General features: G+C 39.7%; 1 protein-coding gene across 7 annotated transcripts in view, besides 1 other annotated feature; it reads right to left on the reverse strand.

The window, feature by feature from the left end:
• The window catches only part of CNMD (chondromodulin), a 36557-nt gene continuing 21426 nt past the window's right edge, over nucleotides 1258-16388 (reverse strand). For 2 of the 7 annotated variants that reach the window (XM_047430070.1, NM_001011705.2), the window contains 3 exons: nucleotides 10710-10863; nucleotides 6530-6696; nucleotides 1258-1801 (listed from right to left, as the gene is read on the reverse strand). In XM_047430070.1, coding sequence (XP_047286026.1) covers nucleotides 1589-1801; nucleotides 6530-6696; nucleotides 10710-10863 — 534 coding nt within the window. In that variant the 3' untranslated portion in view covers nucleotides 1258-1588. Of the gene's footprint in view, nucleotides 1805-6529; nucleotides 6709-10709; nucleotides 10864-16388 lie in introns of all 7 variants that reach the window. The other 5 variants (XM_011534900.3, NM_007015.3, XM_011534899.3 and 2 more) reach the window with 3 other exon arrangements.
• Nucleotides 10210-10760: an enhancer, noted in NCBI's record as "NANOG hESC enhancer chr13:53286351-53286901 (GRCh37/hg19 assembly coordinates)". NCBI's record gives its function as "activates a minimal SCP1, AML or CMV promoter by ChIP-STARR-seq in naive H9 embryonic stem cells {active_cell/tissue: H9 hESC(naive)}" and the evidence as "EXISTENCE:reporter gene assay evidence [ECO:0000049][PMID:30033119]".

Below are 16388 nucleotides of genomic sequence, written 5' to 3' on the forward strand. Positions count from 1 at the left end.
GCTCATCCTTGAAAATCTAGAGAGTAGACATTCTCCAAGAAGCCCATTGCTTCCATCTTTATCAAGGCTTTGTCTGGTGTGCCTTGATTATCTGTATCTCTCATAAGACCATATGCTCTTCTGGGCTGGGATCACTAAATCATTCTCTTTATTTTTAGAACCCAGTACAGGTTGCTGAGCCATGGGGGTGGGAGATGATATGCAGAACCATTGACGCATATTTCTTTCGTTAATAGAGTAACAGCAGTTTTAAAGACTAAACGTGGAATTCATAACTGCAGGAAGTAGCTGCTTCCTGAGAACAGTGTGACCATTACATGTCATTACGGTGCCTTTCCTTCGTCTCTTTTCTCCAGAGACCTAGGCTTGCTGTGTATTTCATTAAATGGAGGGATCTGAGTGTTCACCTGAAAACCAGGTTTTTAAAATTCTGTATCATTTTTATAGACTTTAATTGGAAAACACCAGTATTAGGGATTTACTGTGGAATACACAATAATAAGGTATATTCTGAATATGAGAGTGTAGTGAGATCATGGCATCAAGACCTTTCTGTCGTCTCAGAATCTGTGTTTTGGAAAACTTCTATTTTCCTTAGGAAAGTTGTTTATCTATCAAACGGTGGGATGCAAAACTGAAATGTCAAAAATATAAAATACCTGCTCATCCTCTTGATCTAATATTTCAATTTCTAAAGACAGTCCTTGTTCCTGAGAGACTTTATGTCATTATACATAAATAAGCTATTCCTCCTCAGCTGTATCTGCCAAGCAACACTGTCAGCCCTGTAACTAGGAGAGTAACTTATTGGTAATTGGACTACAGCCGCAGCCTGATTTGTACTACAAAGGTAAAAATCATTATGCTTCTTCATGCCCAGTGACCACTTACTGAAAACAGATTGAGAAAGGTGTGAAGACCTGCTTTTCAGAATGTCAATAAAGTCCTTCCTCCCCACAAGTCTGATTTATCTTCGACTGCATTTTTCTTTATCCTAGTGCTGTTTCCCTGGAGGTGACTCTTAACACAGGTCACATGCCAGTGCACTCAAATAATTCCCCATGAGCTTCCAGATTGAGGCTAAAAATGTTCACTTTTAGGTAGATTCCATTATATATCCTTTCCTTTTTCTGTGTGTTTTTATCTGGGAATTCTGGGGACAAAAAAGATTAAGAACAGTTGAGGAATTCTGTACAAATAACAATGACTTATTTTCATCATGACTTAATTAAAAGGAGCTCAAGTGTACAATTGAGATTTTTGGCAAACTGTAAATTTTCATGTTTATTTCAAAATAGCTTTGGAAGATACAAGCAAGGGAAGACTTATGGCAAAGCAATGCAAATAAAAAATAACAAATAATAAAGGGGTTATGGCATTTTAGACTTGAACTACCCTTTCAGTACATTTGCATATACTAAAGTTCTGGAAAACAATTGAAAAAATTCTGTTAAGAGTGTCAAGAATAACCGCTCAGGTTGAGTGTAAAAATATTTTGTGGTCCTATCAGCATCAACCTGCCTTAATGCTTCTTTGGTTGTCTCTTCAGCTAGTTCTTATTTTACAGCACATGATATATGAAGTGATTTCACACCATGCCCAAGATACGGGCCACCCACCAGCTACATGGCATGATGACTCTGCAGGCCGAACGGCAGCCTTGATAATTATAAGGCCATGGGTAATAGCCCCCCAGGGGTTCACAGATCTTCTGGCAGTGGGTGTAGCTCCGCCTACATTCTATACAACAGATTCCTTCGTGATCCAGTCTAGGGTCGAATGTCATGCTTTCCCCTTCCTGCTGCTGTGAAATAAAAGATAATTATTTGTGATAACTGCATAGTGGGAAGGTCATAGCATGCATGTTATTTTTAAATAAGATTCTGAATTTTTCACTGCTACAGGAAGGTGTAATCTGTAAAGGGTTTGATCTTGTTTACCCTGTCATTCATAATTCATGTTCACTGCTGTCATTCATAATTCCTTTTGACACCAAGGAATCTACACCTACCTCACCTGTCACTGACTAGAAAGTTGTTTTGTCTTTTAAAACGATATCCTGAAGTTTCTCCATGCCTTTAATGAACTATGGTTACCACTTAGTAACTCAGCTTGTTTTAAGTAGGAAAGCAAGAAGGAAGCATTATGATAAAAAGTAGCATTTCTGCCACTGCTAATTCTAAGTCAGTGGAATGCTTGTGGCTTCTTGCAGTAATAGCTTCCAGGGCTCTAGAAGCACTTTTTGAAACTCATCAATCTAGGCTAAAGACAGATTTCAATTCCAGTTGCACTGGCTCTGAGAACACTGTCAAGTCATTTAGTTTTCTCCTGCTTTCATTTCAGTAACAGAATGGGGATGTTATCTCTATAGGGACAAAGGGGTCTCAGGAAAAGACTCCACAAAAACATGTAAAATTCAAGGCCTTAAACTTTGCCTTCTAGTTTTTTATGTAAATATATAAACACAAGATTACATTGGTGAAGTAAAAATCTCCATTTTCACTGCTGGTGAGATTACAGAACTGGAAGGAACTCCCATCCCTCCAACCCTGCCCGGTTTACATATTTGGTTTTCCTTTTTGGGGACTTGTAAGGGTGGAGATTCTGCATTATTTTTAATATGGTATTGAAGTGCATTCCCAAGAAACCCTTATCTTTAAATTCTTGATTCAATTTAAGATTCTTTCCTAAAGTTAGCTGATTCTGGTGTTTAAACAAAGTCTTTAATCTTAATTTGGGATGTCGGGGAGTGGGGGGAGTTATTAAAAATTTCAGCCACGCGCAGTGGCTCATGCCTGCAATCCCAGCACTTTGGGAGGCCAAGGTGGGTGGATCACCTGAGGTCAGGAGTTTGAGACCAGCCTGGCCAACATGGTGAAACCAACCCCATCTCTACTAAAAAATTAGCCAGGCGTGGTGGTGGACACCTGTAATTCCAGCTACTCAGGAGGCTGAGGCAGGAGAATCTCCTGAACCAGGAGGTGGAGGTTGCAGTGAGCTGAGATTGTGCCATTGCACTCCCGCCTGGGTAACAAGAGTGAAACTCTGTCTTGGAAAAAAAAAAAATTTCAAACATACTGGAGAGTAGAGAAAATTATAGATTGAACACCAATAGACTCATCTAGATTGGACAATTGCTAACCTATTGTCAAATTTGCTTTTCCCCTTCCTGCAACAGCAAAAGATAGGGAAATAATTTATATGTCCATCAAAGCAAAACTAGTATTTTAAAGTAAATTCTGAAGTGAATTTAAAGAGAATTGGAGGAATTGTGACATTTCTTCCATAAATACATTAGAATGTGCCCCCCAAAATAAGGATATTTTCCTAAATTTACAACCAGATTGCCATTATCACAAAATTAACAACATGATCTGATACAACCCATATTCAAGTTATGTCATCAAAATATTTATTATCTTACTCTTAAAGCATTCATTTTTTAATTCATCAGACTCACTCTGTTCTTTACCTTATTTCTTGAATAGGTTAATCTGGGACAGCAAAAAGACAACAACCTCATTTATTAATTATGAGGCAGGGAGAGTTAAAAGGCCTGTCAGTTGAGGCACTTCCTTATCTGAGGACCTGACAAAAGTTTTAGGATTGAAAGGTTGGGAGGAAATCTCATGTTGTTACCCTAAGATATGTTTTTTAAAGGAATAACTGAATGAGATCATGGAGATAAATGCTTTAACCATTTCTGCTTAAAGTCCAACATATAATAAAGGAAAAAATTGATATAATTGGAGTTTTTCAAGGGATAAAGGTCACTCAAGACTGGATCCAAGGCAAAGTCATATCCTGCCTGTCTATAAAGGGGCTGATGCCCTCACCCCTTGAGCCAGATTCAGCCAGCCCAGCTCTCTAGGGAATAAACAGTATTAAATTTTATTTGCCTATTCAGATTCTTTTTATTCTTCTTCAAGCTAAGGTAGTAAAGTATTGTGGCATCCTGAATTTTCTGATAAGCCTTTGGTTGTTTAGAAAATACTTCTTGCTCCAAGCTTTTCTAAAATATTTTTAAAATGATAAACTAGGAAATATATTTGCAACACCTGAAATAGTGTTGGACTGAATAGGCTACATAGAAAAACGTGCAAATGACTTAGTATATGAAAAGATGCTCACCCTTACACATAATTAAAGACAAGCAAGATAAACAACCAGGAGATAGAATTTACACCCAAGAGATTGGTGAAAGTTTTTTTTAAGTTTGGTAAGAAGTGGGTCCTTTCATTACTGTTTGCAGACATAGGGCTGATGTAATTCCTTGAAAGGCAATTTGGTATCCTCCATTAAAATGTAAATCTACTTCGATGCAGCAGACTCATGCTTCGGTATTTATGCTAAAGGTAGACTTCCATGTGTGTACAAAGAGGCACAATACTAATAGCTAATATTGAGAAAGTTACTGTTCACCTATGTATCTCAAGCCCTGTGCTAAAAGAGCTCCACCTGCATTACCTTTATTTACTCCTCATAATCCTGTAAGTCATGTACAAGATTGTATCCTGTAACAGTATTTGCAAACAGCAAAAGACAGGGAAATAATTTATAGCCATGAAAGCATAACTAAATTTCTGTACATTTATGTATACAATGAGTTACTATTAAATGAATAGTAGTCATTAAATGAATGAGGTACTATGTAGGAAAACAATCTCCAAAATATTGTAACTGGAAAGAAAGCAAGGTATAAAAGTTTTGTGTTAAAAGTGTGTGTGTGTGTATGTGTGTGTGTCTGTGGGTGTGTACTTATGCAAAGAAACTGGACAAATAGTCATTGTTAATAGTTTGCTTTGGGGAGGGTGTCTGGAGTGGAAGGGAAACACTTTTCTTAATATATCCTTTTGTACTGTTTTTAAAAAATTTCTGCATGTATTTTTAATTTAATTTATTTTTTAGTTGAAGTCTCACTCTGTCACCCATGCTGGAGTGCAATGGCGTGATCTTGGCTCACCGCAACCTCAGTCTCCTGGGTTCAAGTGATTCTCCTACCTCAGCCTCCTGAGTAGCTGGGACTATAGGTGCACGTCACTGTGCCAGCTAATTTTTTGTATTTTTAGTAGAGACGGGGTTTTACCATGTTGGCCAGGCTGGTCTTGAACTCCTGACCTCAGGTGATCCACCCACCTCAGCCTCCCAAAGTGCTGGGATTACAAGTGTGAGCCACCGCGCCCAGCCTGTATTTTTTATTTTAAAAGCTAGCTACAAATAAATACCTATTCTACTTTTTCGCTCCCTGAAAAGTATAATGGTAAATATTTTGTGGAAGATTTGAGTTTTTAGCACCTCGTGTCATCCTCACAAACATCACTTTTCAGTGTTTCAGCCTAAAGCGTTTTACATCTAAGTGTGGGTCTATCCTCTAACTGAAGTGAGAGCCCCTGAGGGCAGATGACACCTCGTGTCATCCTCACAAACATCACTTTTCAGTGTTTCAGCCTAAAGCATTTTACATCTAAGTGTGGCTCTATCCTCTAACTGGACTGAGCCCCTGAGGGCACAGTCTCCTGCCTGTGCACAGAGCCTGGGAAAGAGCAGGTGCCTAAATGACTGCCTGTTGAATAAAGTGGATATAAAGGGGGAAAGAGAATACTTCCATTCCATATGTTGCCTCCAGGGAGCACTCTAGGAAACATTTTCAAATAATCAAATTCCTGATATGAATTTGTTTTCATGAATTTGCCTGTGACTCAAAAAAAGGAGAGCACAGAAAACAACTGAATAATAAGGGTTACCAGCCAATCAGGATTTTACACTACAGAGGTAATGCTTAAGTGTTCTTACCCTTAATTATAAACCTTGCAAAAGGTTGGGCGCGGTGGCTCACACCTGTGATCCCAACAACATCTTGGGAGGCCAAGGCAGGTGGATCACCTGAGGCCAGGAGTTCGAGAACAGCCTGCCCAACATGGTGAAACCCTGTCTCTACTAAAAAAAAAAATACAAAAAATTAGCTGGGCATGGTGGTGGGCACCTGAAATCCCAGCTACTTGGGAGGCTGAGGCAGGAGAATTGCTTGAACCTGGGAGGCGATTCCCAGGCAGTGAAACAACAACAAAAAAACAACTTTGCAACAAATGAAAATGTATTTTTAAAATAATTGAATAAAAGTCTAAGTTGAATACTTATATGCGCGTTTGAAACCTCAAGTACAAACACCATTTCAACACTATTTTTTTTTTTTGAGACGGAGTCTCGCCCTGTCACCCAGGCTGAAGTGCAGTGGCCCAATCTCGGCTCACTGCAACCTCCATCTCCTGTGTTCAAGCGATTCTCCTGCCTCAGCCTCCGGAGTAGCTGGGATTACAGGCGTGTGCCACCATGCCTGGCTAATTTTTTGTATCTTTAGTAGAGACAGGGTTTCACCATGTTGGCCAGGCTGGCCTCGAACTCCTGACCTCGTGATCTGCCCACCCCTGCCTCCCAAAGTGCTAGGATTACAGGCGTAAGCCACCACGCCCGGCCTTGGCACTATGTTTAATGCATTTGTCTAATCATGTCAAAAAGCACCGGAACGCACATGATAAGGATTATCAGGATTGAAGGCTTGTGAGTCCTCTTGAACACTGGGTCTGGTTTCATTATTCAGTCTTCCAGCGCCTGGGTTGCTCCGTGGTCCACTGTGTGGTCTTTTTGTGGTAGTTGGAACAATTTTTCTTACCACTTCTCTTCTTTCCCTCTGGATTTCTGCAAAAATTTCTGTAAATTAATCCCTTTATTTGAATAATTAAGGAAATTAGATCTGTGTTTATCAGGGTGAAAAACATAAGAAAAGGATATCAAAATTTGTGCATAACCAGATGGCTTAAAATTTTTGTACTGATGTTTGTAGTAATAAAACATGTTTTAGAGTCTTGGGCTAATAGTTAAACATACAGATAATCTGAATTTGGTTTTGTAATACTAATTGAAGATGACATTGTAAGATGGCCTGACAAACCTCAAGACCACCTCCCCCCTTTCTTTTGGTCTGCCTTCACTACTGGGGCTGAGAAAATAAAACACCATTCATTTCCCCAGCTTCCTTTGCAATTAGAAGTGGCCAGGTGAGACATATCTGACCAGGGAGACATCAGCAGAATACGCTAGTGCAGTTTCTGGGAAAGCTTTTGCTTTCTCGGTAAAAGGGGACAGATAGGCTTCCCTGTCTTGTTTTTCCTTTCTTGAACACAGATGTGATATCTGGAGTTATGAGAGTCAACTTGTGACTATGAAGTGATAGGCACCATAAGCCAGCATGCTACAGGTAGTAAAATGGTAACTGGAAAGAGACTTGATGGTATCATTGAGTAGCTGATAGTGTCAAAAACCTCCTCTCTCTAGACTTCTGGCTATATGAAAAAAATAAACCTGTGTTTGTTGAAACCACTGTTGATCAAATATTCTGTTAATTGTAGCCCTAAGTATTTCTAATGGATTGACTATATCAGTATAAAGCTTTACAGTTTGCAAGGGAAATATCTTGGTTTATTCTTTTTAAAAATCCTATGGGATAGAAAAAGCAAATGCTTTTATATATGAGGGCATCAAGCCTCAGAAAGGCCAAGTGACTTGGCCAAGATCACAGAATGGGTGGCATAGGTAGGTGCCCAGTGCGAACTCCCTGGCTCTAGTTTACCACATAGCCTCATGGGCCCTGCAGCAGGGCTGATGGCTGCCAATTAACCAAAATACAGGCCAGGAGCAGTAGCTCATGCCTGTAATCCCAGCAGTTTGGGAGGCTGAGGCAGGCGGATCACTTGAGGTCAGGAGTTCGAGACCAGCCTGGTCAACATGGTGAAACTCCATCTCTACTAAAAATACAATAATTAGCCGGGCGTGGTGGCAGGCACCTGTAATCCCAGCTACTTGGGAGGCTGAGACAGGAGAATCGCTTGAACCTGGGAGGCAGAGGCTGCAGTGAGCCGAGATTGCATCATTGCACTCAAGCCTGGGTGACGAGTGAAACTCCATCTCAAAAAAAAGTAGAAAGTACCACACAGCTTGGATTTTGGTGTCTCTCTGAGCCCGTTTCGTTATCTGTAAAATGGGGATAATAGTAATATCTAATTCATAGGGTAGTGATAGGGTTAATGAGAATCTGTCTAAAGGTTTAAGCAGTGTGTTGCATATAATAAGCACTGAACTATTAGGTGATGAGGATTATATCATGCTTTGTTATTTAGGAGAACTAAGATGTGCTTTAAAGCCATTGGTAGCTTCCACAGATAGCATGGTTGGAGAGGCACCAGTGAGACCTGGATTTGATCACAGTTCTGCTTCTTTTAACTAACTAAATGACCTTAGGCAAATTACTTATCTCTGTGAACCTTAGTTTCTTCATCTATAAAACGGGAACGAGTAGTTACCCCAACAGTTGTTGGCAAAGATTAAATGAGGACAAAGCGTAATTCTCTACTACCATGCCTGACACACAGAGCTCAGCAGGTGTCAGCTCTCCCCGTTCCCCTCTGACCTGTGTCCAGCTGTCATTCCCCGTGTCTCTGATAATACAGCTGTGTGACACTGATGACCTGCTGGCTTCAAGATCCAAGGGCATGGGCCGCTGGACCCTGGAGTGTGGTGCTTTTATTAGAATTAGGTGGTAGGAAGCCTGGCATCATCAGAGTTTCTTGATTGTATTGTAAAATATAACTGTACTTATGAGAGATGGGGGAATCCATTTTTCATATCTATGATATTCCATTTTATGGATATAATCAACATTTACCTTTTCTAATCTGGGGGCATTGAGGTGTTTTCCACTTTTCTTGTGTACATAATATGTGTAATTCTTGTATGGATGTTGTGGTGATTGAATACTTAAAATGTGGTCACGCTATTGGGCTGGGAGGGAACAAGCCACATCTTGGATATGTAGGGAAGAAGCTCTTTCCCCAAGTGAGAAATTACTCATCCTATCAGTTGTCTTAGCATTGCCAATAATGCTGTGTTCCGATCTCTAGTGCCCACCCCATGGCCCTGCACTGGCATTTTCCATAGCACCTTGTATCATATTATACAATTTTCTTATTTTAATTTAGTGTTTATTTACTGTCTCCCCTTGCTGCAATGCAAAACTCCCTGAGGGCACGGGTTCTTGTCTGTTCTATTCACGGATGCACCTCAAATACCTACAACAAGTTTATGGCACGTACTAGGCCCTCATGAACGTCTGTCAAATGAGTGAATGAACTCTCTGGGTAAGAGGCTTGTCCTCAATGAGATTAGGGAGAGCTCTAACTGGTAGCACACTGCAGACTCTTGTCCTCAGCTGGAAAAGATGGGAGTTCCTGGGCGACAGAAAGTAAGAAGGCCCACCCAGGTGGTGGCAGGTGTGGAACAGAAAGCCAGAACTTGGCAAGCCATCATAGAACTGTGAGTTGTGACCACCCATAGGAGCAAGAGCAGGAATGGCAACAGCACAGCCCATTTGGCAGCCCCTCTCCTGCCCCCTTCAGCCAGCCAGCCCCTGCTGACTGAGTTTGGAATTCTTTCTTACTGAGCCTGCATGTGGTCTCCAGCTGTTTCTCAGCCCACTGTGCTGGGCAGCTACTGCCAGTGGCTTGTCGCTGAATCCTATTTGCCTCACCCAGGCTGGAGAGGAGCCATCTTCTCCAGCTTTGGGACAGAATGAGACTTGTGAACCATAAGAATAAGTTAGTCGTGGCAGATCAGAAACCTGTACTTCCTAAGCCTGGTGGGTATTTTTAAAAATTGTAAAATATACATAACGAAATTTACCATGTTAACCATTTTTAAGTGTACAGTTCAGTGGCATGAAGTACATTCACATTGCTGTGCAATCATCACCACCATCTAGAACATGTTTCATCTTGCAAAAAATGAAACTGTACCTATTAAACACTAACTGCCCAGTTTTTTCCCTGTGTGCCCACCAAGCCTAGTGGTTTTAAAGGCCTATATTTTCTTTATTTCCATGCTGCTGTCTGCTAGTCTTCCATAAAATCTTTCAGAAAACAGCCTATCTCAGCTGTGCTAGGAGAAAGGCCTTTTTTTTCCCCACATTTGAACCAGAGCTACAAAATAGGCCTTTGGGAGGCCAGTGTGGTGACTGCAGTAGAAATAGTGAGACAACTCAGGGGACAGGAGAAACTCAGGAGGGAGAGTGAGGCCCACCAGGCTCACCTGCCCTTCATTACCCAGAAATAGCTCAAAGATATGCTCCAGCCTAGCTGTGAACCCCAGGGAGTCTGCACTTACTTTCACTGGACTTGGAAGCTAATATTCAAGCTCTGAACTTGAGAGGAATCTCAGCCAATACCCATAGCAGCTTTTGGCTGTCCCATAATTCTAGGTTTGAACACAATAAAGACTCGGCGGTATGACAGTTTCTTAGTCCCTTGATTCTATGCCTTAGAAATAAAAAAAATGTAAAATTGGAAGGTGCAAACAACTGAGATAAAGGGGCAGAGTGGAAAGAAGTGGGAGTGTCATAAACCAAAGCTGCAGGTAATGCCATGGCATTGTCTTCCTGATCTGCCTCCTGTTAACCCTACTGCTCCTTCCCTTCCCTTCAATAGTCACGGGCTGTCATTTTCCTGCTCTTTCATCTCTCATGCTAATTACTGAGACACTGCGACATGCATCCTGATTTATCCTCCTTGTTAACATGCTCAGGCCTGTGGAGGGGGTTGGAGGAACCTCACATGCATGAACAGGGAAAGTTGTAAACAGCTTAAGATAATTTAAAATGTTACCTTTTGGATAGGTTGGTTTAAGCCAGAAAATAGGAAGGTCACCGCAGAGTTCTAACACCTTAGAACTCAAGAAGCTGTTGTCCTTCACAGGCTGATCTACAGCCACCCAGATAAGAGAATTTTCTTCATATTTGACTGGCATGATCTTGCCTTCCTGAAAGTAAAAACGATTGCATTTGAGCAAAGAGGACAGTGAAACAAATTGTATTAAGAGTCATGTGTTGCTAAAAGGTTATTTTGCCTTATAAAAAATTAATGAGAATTCCGAGCATGCGTGTGTACATGTGTGCACTTTAAGGTTCTAATCTCTTCTCTTTGTAGCTCTTTTCACAATATTCAGCACGCCTCCTCCTGTTGCCCTGCCTCTGGATAGCTGTACCATGTGAATATAAGTGCCCTGAGTTGAAGTGAAAATTACTTGATACCAACTTTGAGATTTAGGTTAATCTGATGTTTTTGATCAAAGATGTTTTTGAGGAAAAGCAATTGAACGAACCCTGGAATCCTACAAAGGATAGAGGAACCCTTCATTTGAAGTGAAAATCTTGTGGGGTTTTGTTCTGCAGCTTCTGAACAACAATGGAAAAAGCAAGTGATTGGTTCTTTAATGTCTTCAGTTCAAAGTATTATTTAACATAAACCATTTCTCCACTTCCCAGCTATAACAACACATATTTCAGATGTTCCTCACATCAAGCACACCACTGAGATTTCAAAGTTAAACCCTGGATTTTCTTCCACAGTGAGATGCTGAGAATGGTTTGATAACCCAGGAGACAAATTTATCCTGCCAGGTTGTTCCTTTCGTGTACTTATTAGTCTGCAATAGCTTGGAGAAATTAAAATGTTTTCTCCTAATTTTTAGCTAAAAGCAGTACTTCATTTATGCTTTCTCCCTCAGGCTTATGGCTGCATTAAAACAACTTAAAGTTATTGGAGGAAGCTAACAGTCAGGTAATCCAGTTATTTACCTTAAATTAAATGGCTCCATCCAGGAAATGAATGCTCTTTGAGTACTGTAGCTTTTTAAAGTTATACAAAACTGATGAAAAATTTATGAAAGCAAGTGGTACATAAATCTACCCCATCTTAGTCTAAAGTGTGTGGGGAAGAGTGGGGTGATTGGGATAATGCATATAGATGCATCCTCCATGCTAAGAATGTTAAATAAATCTTGAGGCATGTACTTTTGGTTGCCTACCCAATCTCCTTCCTCCCCCACCTGCCTTGTAACATAGTCCTTCTTTTATTGGAAGCAGCAATGAGCCCAGCCCCAGGAGAGACACTTGCTTTCTCTAGTTCTCCTGCAGTCCAGGGTGCCCGGGTGACCCAGTGGTAGCCAGTGAGATCCAGGCCAAAGTATGCTGAGGGCTTGGGAGGCCTTCTGCTTTTCCTGATTAAAGGGAAGTCGTGGTTGGCATTGCTCAATGTCTTTCTTCCTGACATTTTTACTTGAATGCCAACTAAGGAAGTCAGGAAGAGGTTGAGCAGTGGCAACCATGATTGGAGCTGAAAGGCAAGATTTTAAAAAATCACAGAAATGCTGGCCACCGAGCCAATGCCTGCAGCCACCTGCCTCCACATTGCTTACTGTGGAGAAAAACAGATCCCGATTTGTGTAAGTTACTCTAAGGGTAGTTTTCTGTTACTGACAGCCAAACATATTCCTAATTCACACAAATGTATTGTCTGAATTTGTTTTTGTCCACTAGAGGATCCATCATGCATGACATAAACAACTAAAACACAGGACAAATAATCTACCTCTATGGCCTAAGAATCAGATGCAGACAAAGATTTAAATATAAAAGCATTCACCATCACGGCGAATTTATTTACCATGGTAAATAATGGTATTTAAAAATAGTTATTTTTAATTATTATTTGAAATAATGAAAAATTGAAGATACCTGAAGTGTTTAAGAATAAAAGACTTTTAAAATTATAATCATATGATAAAGCATATGTCCATTATAATCTACATTTTAGAAGAACTAAAGTTATGACAATAATAAGCATGTACAACAGGATAATTTCCCTTATAGAAAGACTATCACACACACACACACACGGAGAAAATTCACCAAAACATTAGCATTAGCTTTTTGTGGATTATGCAATTGTAGGTAATTTTATTATCTATACTTTTTTTCCCTAAGATGTCCCAGTATTGAACCATTTGTACATCCCTGAAATAAACCTTACCTTGTCATGACATGTTACTTATTCAACATATGGCTATACTCCTTTTACTAATATTTTAGTCAAGATTCTTACACCTATTTTCTTTTTTTATTTTTAATTTTTGTGGATCTATAGTAGGTATATACTTATGGGTTACCTAAGATATTTTGATACCAGCATGCAATGCATAATTACCACATCAGGGTAATTACTGCAAGCATTTATTCTTTGTTTCAAACAATCCAGTTATACTGTTAGTTTTTTTAAAAATGTATAATTGTTTTTTACTACAGTCTCCCTGCTGTGCTAGCAAATACTAGGTCTTATTTAGTTTTTCTATTTTTTATTCTTTATAACTAATTTTTGTACCCATTACCATCCTCCCTTCCCCCAAACCGTTCCAGCCTCTGGTAATCATCCTTCTATTCTCTATCTCCATGAGTTCAACTGTTTTAATTTTTTTAAATTATACTTTAAATTCTGGGATACATGTGCAGAATGTGCAGGTTTGTTACATAGGTATACACATGCCATGGTGGTTTGCTGCATGCATCAACTCGTCATCTACATTAGATATTTCTCTTAATGCTATTCTTCCCCTAGCACTCCCACTCCCTGACAGGCCCCGGTGTGTGATGTTCCCCTCCCTGTGTCCATGTGTTCTCATTGTTCAGCTCCTACTTGTGAGTGAGAACATGCAGTGTCTGGTTTTCTGTTCCTGTGTTACTTTGCTGAGAATGATGGTTTCCAGCTTCATCCGTGTCCCTGCAAAGGACATGAACTCATCATTTTTATGGCTGCATAGTATTCTATGGTGTACATGTGCCACATTTTCTTTATCCAGTCTATCATTGATGGGCATTTGGGTTGGTTCCAAGTCTTTGCTATTGTGAATAGTGCTGCAATAAGCATACATATGCATGTGTCTTTATAGTAGAATGATTTATAATCCTTTAGGTATATACCCAGTGATGGGATTGCTGGGTCAAATGATATTTCTGGTTCTAGATCCTTGAGGAATCACCACACTGTATTCCACAATGGTTAAACTGATTTATAGTCCCATCAACAGTGTAAAAGCATTCCTATTCCTCCACATCTTCTCCAGCATATGTTGTTTCCTGACTTTTTGATGATCGCCATTCTAACCGGTATGAGATGGTATCTCATTGTGGTTTTGATTTGCATTTCTGTAATGACCAGTGATGATCAACTTTTTTTCATGTTTGTTGGCCACATAAATGTCTTCTTTTGAGAAGTGTCTGTTCATATCCTTCACCCACTTTTTGATGGGGTTGTTTCTTTCTTGTGAATTTGTTTAAGTTCCTTGTAGATTCTGGATATTAGCCCTTTGTCAGATGGATAGATTGCAAAAATTTGTTCTCCCATTCTGTAGATTGCCTCTTCACGCTGATGATAGTTTCTTTTGCTGTGCAGAAGCTCTTTAATTTAATTAGATCTCATTTGTCAATTTTGGCTTTTATTGCCATTGCTTTTGGTATTTTAGTCATGAAGTCTTTGCCCATGCCTATGTCCTGAATGGTATTGCCTAGGTTTTCTTCTAGGGTTTTTATGATTTTAGGTCTTACATTTAAGCCTTTAATCCAGCTTGAGTTAATTTTGTATAAGGTGTAAGGAAGGGGTCCGGTTTCAGTTTTCTACGTATGGCTAGCCAGTTTTCCCAAGACCATTTATTAAATAGGGAATCCTTTCCCCATCGCTTGTTTTTGTCAGGTTTGTCAAAGATCTGATTGTTGTAGATGTGTGGCATTATTTCTGAGGGCTCTGTTCTGTTCCATTGATCCATATACCTGTTTTGGTACCAGTACCATGCTGTTTTGGTTACTATAGCCTTGTAGTATAGTTTGAAGTCAGGTAGCATGATGCCTCCAGCTTTGTTCTTTTTGCATAGGATTGTCTTGGTTATACGGGCTCTTTTTTGGTTCCACGTGAAATTTAAAGTAGTTTTTTCTAATTCTGTGAAGAAAGTCAGTGGTAGCTTGATGGGGATAGCATTGAATCTATAAATTACTTTGGGCAATATGGCCATTTTCACGACATTGATTCTTCACATCCATGAGCATGGAATGTTTTTCCATGCGTTTGTGTCCTCTCTTTTTTCATTGAGCAGTGGTTTGTAGTTCTCCTTGAAGAGGTCCTTCACATCCCTTGTAAGTTGTATTCCTAGTATTTTATTCTCTTTTAGCAACTGTGAATGAGAGTTCCCTCATGATTTGGCTCTCTGTCTATTATTGGTGTATAGGAATGCTTGTGATTTTTGCACATGGATTTTGTATCCTGAGACTTTGGTGCAGTTGCTTATCAGCTTAAAGAGATTTTGTGCTGAGGCAATGGAGTTTTCTAAATGTACAATCATGTAATCTGCAAAATGAGACAATTTGACTTCCTCCCCTCCTATTAGAATACACTTTATTTCCTTCTCTTGCCTGATTGCCCTGGCCAGAACTTCCAACACTATGTTGAATAGGAGTGGCAAGAGAGGGCATCCTTGTCTTGTGCTGGTTTTCAAAGGAAATGCTTCCAGTTTTTGCCCATTCACTATGATATTGGCTGTGGGTTTGTCATAGATAGCTCTTATTATTTTGAGATATGTTCCATCAATACCTAGTTTATTGAAAGTTTTTAGCATGAAGCGGTGTTAAATTTTATTGAAGGCCTTTTCTGCCTCTATTGAGATAATCATGTGTTTTTGTCATTGGTTCTGTTTAGGTAATGGATTATGTTGATTGATTTGTGTATGTTGTACCAGCCTTGTATCCCAGGGATGAAGCTGACTTGATCGTTGTGGATAAGCTTTTTGATATGCTGCTGCATTCAGTTTGCCAGTATTTTATTGAGGATTTTTGCATCGATGTTCATCAGGGATATTGGCCTGAAATTTTCTTTTTTTGTTGTGTCTCTGCCAGGTTTTAGTATCAGGATGATGCTGGTCTCATAAAATGAGTTAGAGAGGAGTCCCTCTTTTTGTATTGTTTGGAATAGTTACAGAAAGAATGGTACCAGCTCCTCTTTGTACCTCTGGTAGAATTTGGCTGTGAATCCGTCTGGTCCTGGGCTTTTTTTGGTCGGTAGGCTATTAATTACTGCCTCAATTTCAGACCTTCTTATTGGTCTATTCAGGGATTTGACTTCTTCCTGGTTTAGTCTTGGGAGGGTGTATGTGTCCAGGAATTTACCCATTTCTTCTGAATTTTCTAGTTTATTTGTGTAGAGGTGTTTATAGCATTATCTGACGGTAGTTTGTATTTCTGTGGGATCAGTGGTGATATCCCCCTTATCATTTTTTATTGTGTCATTTGATTCTTTTCTCTTTTCTTCTTTATTAGTCTGGCTAGTAGTCTATCTATTTGTTAATCTCTTCAAAAAACCAGCTCCTGGATTCAATGATTTTTGGAAGGGTTTTTCATGTCTCTATCTCCTTCAGTTCTGCTCTGATCTTAGTTATTTCTTGTCTTCTGCTAGCTTTTGAATTTG

The sequence above is a fragment of the Homo sapiens genome, chromosome 13 (genome assembly GCF_000001405.40).
Source record: "Homo sapiens chromosome 13, GRCh38.p14 Primary Assembly".
In the NCBI taxonomy this organism is placed as follows: Eukaryota; Metazoa; Chordata; class Mammalia; order Primates; family Hominidae; genus Homo; species Homo sapiens.